This window comes from Homo sapiens, chromosome 16 (genome assembly GCF_000001405.40).
Source record: "Homo sapiens chromosome 16, GRCh38.p14 Primary Assembly".
NCBI classification, from domain to species: Eukaryota; Metazoa; Chordata; class Mammalia; order Primates; family Hominidae; genus Homo; species Homo sapiens.
Window position 1 is genome coordinate 10,732,850 of NC_000016.10, and position 10,909 is coordinate 10,743,758.

General features: G+C 44.5%; 2 annotated features.

Moving 5' to 3' along the window:
* Nucleotides 4,859-4,908: an enhancer, noted in NCBI's record as "active region_10385". NCBI's record gives its function as "activates an Ori minimal core promoter by ATAC-STARR-seq in GM12878 lymphoblastoid cells {active_cell/tissue: GM12878}" and the evidence as "EXISTENCE:reporter gene assay evidence [ECO:0000049][PMID:35858748]".
* Nucleotides 10,802-10,851: an enhancer, noted in NCBI's record as "active region_10386". NCBI's record gives its function as "activates an Ori minimal core promoter by ATAC-STARR-seq in GM12878 lymphoblastoid cells {active_cell/tissue: GM12878}" and the evidence as "EXISTENCE:reporter gene assay evidence [ECO:0000049][PMID:35858748]".

Consider the following 10,909-nt stretch of genomic DNA (forward strand, 5'->3'; position numbering starts at 1 on the left):
AAATATGACCCAAAATGAGGGGAGGAAATCAATCAATTGAAACCAAACCAGAAATAACACAGATAATGGAATTAGTAGATTAGGATATTTTAGGTTATTATAACTGTATTCTATGTGTTCAAGAAACTAGAAAAAAGATTCAGCACATTCAGTCTTAAAAATGAATGATACTTAAAAACAAACAAACAAACAAACAAACAACAACAAAAAAAAAACCTAAGCTGAACTTCTAGAGATGAAAACTATAATGTCTGAGACGCAAAATATTGATCCCATCTTGATGCAAGATGGGATTAAGAACATGTCTTAGCTCAGGCTGCCATAACAAAATAATAGTCTGGGGGGCTTAAACAACAGACACTTACTTTCTCACAGTTCTGGAGGCTGGAAGTCCAAGACCAGGCGCCAGCATGGTTGCGTTCTGGTGAGGACTATCTTCCTGGCTTGCAGACTGGCTTCTTGCTCTGCCCTCACATGGCCTTTTCTTGGTGTGTGCCTATGGAGAGAGAGAAGGCACAATCTCTCTGGTGTCTGTTCTTATAAAAGCACAAAGTTCACTATGAAGACCCCATCCTCATGACCTCATCTAGCTTTAATTACCTCCCAAAGTCCCCATTCCAAATATCATCACATTGGTATTTGGTTTGGGCTTCAACATATGAATCTGGGGGAGGAGGACACAAGCATTCCATTCATAACAATGCAAATTAGACCCTGTAGAAGAAAATATTAGTGAAGTTGAAGACATGGCAATAGAAAGTATCCAAAATAAAACAAAGAGAAAAAAAAAAGACTGAGGAAAAAACTACTAACTGTTGCTGAAAAAAATTTTAAAATAGATAAAATAAAATAGAAATTTAAATAGAAAGATATGTCATACGTGTGGACCAGAAGGCTTCATATTGTTATGATGTCAATTCTTCCTAAATTGATGGACAGACTTAACACAATCCCATTCAAAATCCTAGTAGGCTTTTTTGGTACAAATTAATAAATTAATTGTAATATTTGTATGAAAATGCAAAGACCTAGAATAGCCGAAAACAACTTTGGAAAGAAAAAGTTGGAAGATTTAGGCTCTCTGACTTCAAGCCTTATATATTTTTATTTTTATTTATTTATTTTTTTTTGAGACAGAGTCTTACTCTGTTGCCCAGGCTGTAGTGCAGTGGTATGATCACGGTCAAGTCTTATTATAAAACTACCATATGGTATTGGCATAAAGATAGACAAATAGATCAATGGACAGAATAAAGACTCCAGGCCAGGCGAAGGGGCTCACACTTGTAATCCCAGAACTTCAGGAGGCTGAAGCAGGCTGACTGCTCGAGTCTAGAAGTTCAAGACCAGCCTGGGCAACATAGTGAGACTTTGGCTCAATATATATATGTGTGTATATACATATGCGTATATATGTATGTGTATATATGTGTATATATGAATGTGTATATATATGTGTATATGTGTGTATAGATAGATAGACAGAGAGAGAGAGAGTCCAGAAATGGTCCATTGATTTTTCAATGAAGGTACAAAGTTAATTTTGTGGAGAAAGGCTAGACTTTTCAACCAATGATGTTGGAACAATTGGATATCCAAACAGAAAAAAATGAATTTCAACCCATATTTCACACTACATACCACAATTACCTACAAAAATTTACTCCAAATGGATCAGAGACCTCAATGTAAAGTCTAAAACTATAATATGTCTAGAAGGAAAAACAGGAGAAAATCTTTGTGGCATTGCATTCGGTTAACTCTTTCTTAGATATAATATCAAAAATACAATACATAAAAGAAAAAAATGAACAAATAAAACCTCATCAAAATTAAGAATGGCTCTTCAAAAGACACTTTTAAGAGAATAAAAGGACAAGCTACAGTCTAGGAAAAAACATTTGCCAAACACATTATTGATAAAGGACTTCCAGCTGGGCACAGTGGCTCATGTCTGTAACCCCAGCACTTTGGGAGGCCGAGGCAGGCAGATCACCTGAGGTCAGGAGTTCGAGACCAGCCTGGCCAGCACAGTGAAACCCCATCTCTACTAAAAATACAAACACTAGCCAGGCGTGGTGGCATGCATTTGTGGTCCCAGCTGCTTGGAAGGGCGAGGCAGTCGAGTTGCTTGAACCCAGGAGGCGGAGATTGCAGTGAGCCGAGATCATGCCATTGCACTCCAGCCTGGGCAACAGAGTGAGACTCTGTCTCAAAAAAAAAAAAAAAAAAAAAGACTTCCATCCAGAATATATACATAATATCAAAATTCAATAATAAAACAAATTACCAAATTTTATAAAGTGGACTTGAAGATTTGAATGAACACTCTCAACAAAAAATATGTAATGTCAAGTGAGCACATGAAAAGATGTTCAGGCCGGGCCTGGTGGCTCACAACTGTAACCCAGCACTTTGGGAGGCCGAGGTGGGCAGATCACTTGAGGTCAGGAGTTTGAGACCAGCCTTGCCAACACAGTGAAACCCCATCTCTACTAAAAAACAAAAATTAGCCCGGTGTGGTGGCACATGCCTGTAATCCCAGCTACTCGGGAGGCTGACACATGAGAATCACTTGAACCTGGGGGGCAGAGTTTGCAGTGAGCAGAGATTGGGCCACTGCACTCCAGCCTGGGACAGAGTGAGACTCTGTCTCAAAATAAATAAATAAATAAATAAATAAATAGGAAAAGATGTTTAACACAGTCATTAAAATAATGCAGATTAAAACTACAATAATACAGCAGTATGCATCTATTGAAATATTTAAAATCCAAGGTTGTCTGTAACCTATGCATCTATTGAAATATTTAAAATCCAAGGTTGTCTGTACCCACTGCTGGCAAGAATATGGAGCAGTTAAAAGTCTCATATCCTGCAGGTGAATATGCATAATCACTATGGAAAACAGTTTCGTAGTTTCTTTTTTTTTTTTTTTTTTTGAGACAGAGTCTCGCTCCATTGCCCAGGCTGGAGTGCAGTGGTGCGATCTCGGCTCACTGCAAGCTCAGCCTCCTGGGTTCAAGCGATTCTCCCACCTCAGCCTCCCGAGTAGCTGGGACTACAGGCCACCATGCCCGGCTCATTTTTTGTATTTTTAGTAGATATGGGGGTTTCACTGAGTTAGCCAGGATGGTCTCGATCTCCTGACCTCGTGATCCACCCGCCTTGGCCTCCAAAGTGCTGGGATTACAAGCATGAGCCACCGTGCCGGCCTCGTAGTTGCTTAAAAGTTAAATGCACATCTACCATTCCACTCCTAGGTATTTAAGCAAGAGAAATGAAGATACACGTCACTATGAAGACCTGCACAAAAATGCTCACGGCAGCTTTATTTGTAACACCCCAAAACTGGAAACAGCCAAATGTCCATTAACAGATAAACTAGTATAATCATACAATGGAATACCACATAGCAACCAGAGGAAACGAGCTTCATACACGCAACAATGTGGATGAAACGAAAATAAATATGCTGAGTGAAAGAAGCTGAATTAAAAAGCGTGCATGCTGTATGATTACATTTATATAAAATTCTAGAAAATCCAAACTAATCTACAGTGAAAGAAAACAGGTCAGTGATTGCTAAAGAACAAGAGCGGACCACAAGGAAACCTTTGGGTACATACATATGTCAAAACTTGGCAATTGTATACTTACAATATGTGCAGTTTGTTGTATATCAGGTATACCTCAACAAAGCAGCTTAAGAAATAAACCGGCCGGGAGTGGTGGCTCACGGCTGTAATCCCAGCACTTTGGGAGGCCAAGGCGGATGGATCACCTGATGTCAGGAATTCGAGACCAGCCTGGCCAACACGGCGAAACTCCGTCTCTACTAAAAATACAAAAATTAGCCGGGCGTGGTGCCAGGCACCTGTAATCCCAGCTACTCAGGAGGCTGAGGAAGGAGAATCGCTTGAACCTGGGAGGCGGAGGTTGCAGCGAGCCGAGATTGTGCCACTGCACTCCAGCCTGGGAGACAAAGCGAAACTCTGTCTCATTAAAAAAAGAAATAAACTGATAATTACTAACACCTATATAGGGCTTGAAAGTGCCAGACACTCTAAAAAACTGTTTTACTCATTAACTTGTTTAATCTTCCCAACAATAATTCCTTGAATATTATTGTTGACATTTTTCAGAGACGGAAACTGAGACAGGGAGCCTGAATGCGAACACCTGGCATTCAAGGATCCACGTCCTTTCCAGTTTCTCTCTATATAATGCATCTGAGCCTTGTTTTTCGACTCAATTATGTGTTGAACACCTGGTGTGTATATAGCCCCTTGTTATATTTGCCGGATCCCAGGGAAGAAGCAGAAAATTTTCTACACCTAAACTTAATTTTGTTTCCATTGCCTGAGTACCTTGATCATAGGTGGGGGGAGAGCTCCACCTGCTGGTATAACTAAGGAACCGCAGGCACTTCCTGTGTTTTCTAAGGGTGCTCGCTGACCTTGTTTGAATATTTAAAGTGCCCCTGTCTGGCTGAAATTTTTAGCCGCTGTAACCAGGTTTTAGTCTTGTTTCATCCACTAATCTTTTTTTTTTTTTTGGTAAGGCAGATTCTCGCTGTGTTGCCCAGGCTGGAGGGCAGTGGTGAGATCGCCTGCCAGGCTCAAGCGATTTTCCTGCCTTGCAGCCTTCCGAGTAGCTGGAACTACAGGCGCACACCACCACATCCGGCTAATTTTTATATTTTTAGTAGATACAGGGTTTCACCATGTTTGCCAGGCCGGTCTCAAACTCATGACCTCAGGTGATCCACCCACCTCGGCCTCCCAAAGCGCTGAGATTACAGGCATGAGGCACCACGCCTGCCCAGTTTCCCCCATTTTTAACATCTTGCATTAGTGTGGTACATTTGTCACAGTTGATGAACCAATATTGACACATTATTATTAAATAAAGCCCATGGTTTATATTAGGCCTCACTCTTGGTGTCGTACGTTCTATGGGATTTGACGAATGCATAATGACATGCATCCACCATTACATAGTCACACAGAGCAGCTTCCCTGCCCTAAAAGTTCCCTGGGCTCCCGTTTACCCCTTATCCCCTCCCACCCGCTGAACTCCTAGCAACCCTGATCTTCGGACTCTATAGTTTTACTAATTTATTTTTAAAATTATTTTGAAGTCTATTTAAATCCTTGGCACTTACTTAGCTTTGTAAATTTAACTTTCATTTTTAGTCATTATTCACCATCTTCAGTCAGAGGAACTGAAATAAAAAAATTTAAATTTAAATTTAAAATCTAGTCTTTCAAAATCACAGAACTAAGTAAGTGTAAAGGAAAATTACACAAAATTTCAAATGCTAATTTTTGTTAAGTTTATGGCATTCATACTTCGGAAGTTGTTAGAATGGAAAACCGTGCTCAGACTTCTGGAACGCAGTGTGTTCAGTTCCGCAGGCCAGGAATGGCCTCCATGGGGAGATGCTGCTGAGACTTGGCCTGTCACAGAGGACTGGGCCACAGCCAGATAGGCGAGAGACAGGCAGTGGCCTTTCCTGGCAGAAGGGCCTGTGTGAGTGACAGCAATGAACTAGGGTGCCAGGCAAAGGCCAGCTGTTTAGTGAATAGACTCGATATTCTCAGTGACACTCAGGCTGGAAGGGTCAAAATGAGTCATGCAGGCTACTGAACACCATATGAAAACTGGGCCTTATCCTGTGGGCCATAGGGAGCCACTGACGGTTTATGAGCAGCAGAGTGACTTGGTCTGATTTTCATGGGGAAAGAATGTTAAGACTGAGAAACAATTCAGGGAACTGTGGGAAACATCACTGTGATCCTGGATATCTGGTTTTCCTCCACTTCCAGTCATATAAAACTGTACTTCCTATACTTTTTTAGGCATGACCATGTGACTTTTTTTTTTTTTTGCGACAGAGTTTTGCTCTTGTTGCCCAGGCTGGAGTGCAGTGGTGTGATTTCGGGTCACTGCAACCTCTGCCTCCCAGGTTCAAGCAATTCTCTTGCCTCAGCCTCCCAAGTAGCTGGGATTACAGGCATGCGCCTCTGTACCTGGCTAATTTTTGGTATTTTTAGTAGAGACGGAGTTTCACACTATTAGTCATGCTGGTCTTGAACTCCTGACCTCTAGTGATCCAACCGCCTCGGCCTCCCAAAGTGCTGGGTTACAGGCATGAGTCATCACGCCCAACCTTTTTTTTTTTTTTCTGAGACAGAGTCTCATTCTGTCACTCAGGCTGGAGTGCAGTGGCACAATCTTGGCTCACTGCAACCTCTGCCTCCCGGGTTCATGCAATTCTCCTGCCTCAGCCTCCTGAGTAGCTGGGATTATAGGCGCACACCACCACACCCAGCTAATTTTTTGTGTATTTTTAGTAGAGACAGGGTTTCGCTATGTTGGCCAGACTGGTCTTGAACACCTGACCTGGTGATCCACCCGCCTCGGCCTCCCAAAGTGCTGGGATTACAGGCGTGAGCCATCGCGCCTGGCCTTTTTTTTTTTTTTTTTTTTTTTTTTAGACAAGGTGTCACTCTGCTGCCCAGGCTGGAGGGCAGTACTGTGATAACAGCTCATTGCAGCCTCCAACTCCAGCAATCGTCCTGCCTCGGCCTCCCAAGTAGCTGGGACTACAGGCATGCACCACCTTGCCCAGTTAATTTTTAAATTTTTTGTAGAGACAGGGTCTCACTATGCTGTTCTCCAACTCCTGGCCTCAAGCAATCCTCCTGCCTTGGCCTCCTAAAATGCTGGGATTACAGGTGTGAGCCACTGCACCTGACGTGTGTGACTAATTGTAGCCAATGAAAAGTGGGCAGATAGGTGTCATTTCTAGTGGAAGCATTTCAGAATCAGGGTACAATTCCCCTGGCTTGTGTCCTCTGTGTTCAAAAGGGGCCACAGGAGACGGTGGAGCTTCAGTCTGTGTCCCTGAGGAACCACAGGGAGCAGGAACCTCTGTCCATGAAGTTACATATGGAGCAAATGCCAAAATAAACTTGATTGCCTTGAGCCACTTCAGTTTGGGGATGTCTGTTTTGGCAGCGCAGACTAGCCTATCCTGGCTGAAACAGACACTGTTGCAGGACCAGGAGGAGGAGGGGGCCTGAGCTGAGGCAGGAGGGATGCTGGAAGGCATGGAGTGTCAGTTGTCTATAGCTACCCCAAACTCAACAGTGTCAAACCACCAGCATTTAGCTAGTTCACCAGCCTGTGCATTGGCCAGGTGGTTCTTCAGGACTCACGCATCTATGGCCAGTTGTGGGTCTGGATGGGTGGATCTGTGGGTCTGGATGTGTGGATCGGTGGGTCTGGATGGGTGGATCTGTGTGTCTGGATGTGTGGATCGGTGGGTCTGGATGGGTGGATCTGTGGGTCTGGATGGGTGGATCAGTGGGTCTGGATGGGTGGATCTGTGGGTCTGGGTGGGTGGATCTGTGGGTCTGGATGGGTGGATCTGTGGGTCTGGGTGGGTGGATCTGCAGCTCTTGGCTGGACTCTTCTCATGTGTCTTGGGCCGCTGGTTTAGGAGGCCTTCACTGAGAGCACAGGGGTGGCTCAGCTCAGTTCCAGGTGTTTCACCTCCCATGGGCGAGCCCAGACCTTCTCCTAGCCTGTGTACCTTTAAGTGGCAGGGGAGCTGGAGAGGGATTAAAACAGGCAAAAGCCCCATTACAAGCTTTTTCTTGAATCACATTTGCTAAAGTAAGTCACATGCCTGAGCACAGAGTCAAGGGGTAGGATGGAACCCCCTCCCCGCACGTGGGAGGGCACTGCAAAGTTCAGCAGCCAAGGGCACAGATCCAGACAGGGAGAGAAGTGGGGTCATGTGTGCTACCAGCCTACCACCTAGGGGTGCAGCTGCTGACCTGATGTCTGATTGGATGCAGGGGGTGCTGTGGGCGTCTCTATGGACAACACTGACCCCCATCCCTGTATAGGTACGCCACCCCACTAATCAACAAGAGGAGTCTGTGTCTGTGACACTTTGACCGAGAGAACATGGTGAAAGTGACTGCCACTTCCCAGCTTTGTCATTCCCAGCTGCCATTTAAAGGGACACAGGCTAGACCACTGAAAAATGAGAGAGGGAGGCCACGAGGGGGGAATCAAGGCCAGTGTGAGAGTGAAGCCATTTGAGACCTTCCAGCCAACTCCCAGCTGAATGAAGCCACATTAAGGGAGCCCAGGTGAAACCAGAAGAGTCACAGGAAGCAATAAACCATGGTGGGTTTAAACCACTACATATTGGGGTGACTTGTCACACAGCACTTGATCACTGATGGAGATGGAGAAAACTAAACAAGGCTGATACTCAGATTTACGGCTTGAGTTCTTAGCCCAGGGGTCATGCCCTGTCCAGGTATAACAAATCCAGAGGCAGGAACCGCCTTGAGAAGAAGTTGTAGACGTTTATTTGTTACGCTTGTGGGATGTCCATGCAATAAAATCCAATAGGCACAAGGTAGGATCCACAGATCCGAACTCACGGAGCAAGAGGTGTGGGAGCTGGAGACAGAAGATGGATAGCATCAGGGCTGTCAGTTGCTTGCCCAGGAGGAAGTGGGAAGTGGGACTGGAAGTGGCCCAAGAACAGAGTCTTGGGGAGCACTCACCTTAAGAAGCGGCCCTGGCCAGGCGCGGTGGCTCACACCTGTAATCCTAGCACTTTGGTAGGCTGAGGCGGGTGGATCACCTGAGGTCAGGAGTTCGAGACCAGCCAGGCCTACATGGTAAAACCCCGTCTCTACCAAAAATACAAAAAATTAGCCAGGCGTGGTGGTGGGCACCTGTAGTCCCAGCTACTCAGGAGGCTGACACAGGAGAATTGCTTGAACCCGGGAGGTGGAGGTTGCAGTAAGCCAAGATCACACCACTGCACTCCAGCATGAGCAACAGAGTGAGATTCCATCCCACAAAAATAAAAATAAAAAGGAGAATAACTTGCATCCTGCCCTCTAATATACAGTATAGTGATTAATAGCAAAGGCCCTGTATCAGACTTGGTTAAAAACCCAGTTCTGCTCTTTCTGCCTCTCAGACTGTGGACAAGTAAATCTTTGCAGCCATCTTATCACCTGTAAAACGGAAATGACAACAGTCCCTACCTGATAGGTGACTTCCTCTCTGCTCTCCAGGCCTTTGCTGATGCCCCATCACTCTGGTCCTCTTCTCCCGACCAGACTGTGCTCCAGATGGCAGGGTCCAGGTTAGTCTGGAATCATTGGCATCTAGCCCAGTGCTGGCTGGGACCATGTGTTACTAAGTGCAGGCTCTGCAGCCAGACAGACCAAGTTTATCACCCTGGTTCCCCTGCTACCAGTCATGCGACCTCGGGAAAGTAGTTTACTTTAAGCCTCAGTTTCCTTATCCAAAAATGGAGACAGTAGGACTATGAAAGGACATAAATTAGGTAATTCACATGAAAGCACAAAGATGACAGCTGCCAAACGGTAAGTATTCTACAAAATGCTGGCTATAATTAGTGGTAGTGACAGGCAGCTGATACACTGCTGTTTAATAAATGTTTCCGAGGCCGGGTGCGGTGGCTCATGCCTGTAATCCCAACACTTTGGGAGGCCAAGGCGGGCAGATCACGAGGTCAGGAGATCGAGACCATTCTGGCTAACATGGTGAAACCCTGTCTCTACTAAAAATACAAAAAATTAGCCGGGCGTGGTGGCCTGTAGTCTCAGCTACTCGGGTGGCTGAGGCAGGAGAATGACGTGAACCCAGAAGGCGGAGCTTGCAGTGAGCCGAGATCCCACCACTGCACTCCAGCCTGGGTGACAGAGCGAGAATCCGCCTCAAAAATAAATAAATAAATAAACGTTTCCATATTCTTAGTGTCTGGGGCTAGGTAAAGTTTGTTCACTCATTAATATTCCAGGTGCCAAACCTGTGAGCAATGACACTCCAGTAGCAATGAGCATTTGTGGCATCCACATCTTGGTTTCTGAACTGTTGTCTGCTAAAAAGTAACCAAGGCTCCCTGAAGAAATGACTGCAGCAGGGAGAAGGGATGACTGAAACATCTTGTATCAGAAAGCAAGAAAATGCTCAAAGAAGCTGGATTAGTGCCCAAAGAACATAAGAACTGTCTTGAAGGGGCTTCACTGGCCACATCTGGGGGAAAAAAAATCGACCAGAAAGAATAATAATTGATTATAAAAGACAATTTTAAAAAATCCAGGAATCCATAGTGAGTCTTCGAAAAAAAAGAAAAAAAGAGAGGGTATAAAACTGATATATATTTATCATATATATAATCTATAGTTTTATATATATATATATAAATGCTGCTAAAATCACTGAGTGAAAGGCTGATAGAGAAGAAGATGGTCCCAGAGAGTACCTGTTAATTACAAATGGAAGAAGGAAACATTAAATGGAGAAATGGGGCAGACACCACCTTTAGCAAGCGATCAAGCTTCACATTACCAAAAACGGGACAAACTGACATTATCCAAGTGTGTTCTGCAGGAAAAAAGAAAAATTAACCTTTATCTAATTACAAGGCAAGAGGGAGGGGAGGATTAGACAAATCAAGAATATGGGATATTCTATTACACAACTGGTCTGGACCCGTCAAAATTATCAAGGTGATGAGACCCCCCCTAAAAAAAGAAGGACTGATCTGAATTAAAGGAGACCGAAGAGAAATAACTCCAGGCAGTGAGTGAATCCAGCAGGGGAGGGGGTCTAACAACTGAAATTGAAATATAAACTGTCTATTGGCTAATACTGCATTGGCTAGTACTGCATCGATATTAAATCTCTTGGGTATGAAAATGGCACTGATGTCATGAAGAATGGCTTTGTTCTTAGGAGATGCACTGCAGAAGTATTTATGATAGGAAATCTCTGAAAAGGAACAGACGTTGAGTCCCAGTCTTTCGGCCCAAGGTTCGCGCGTGCGCACAGCCCC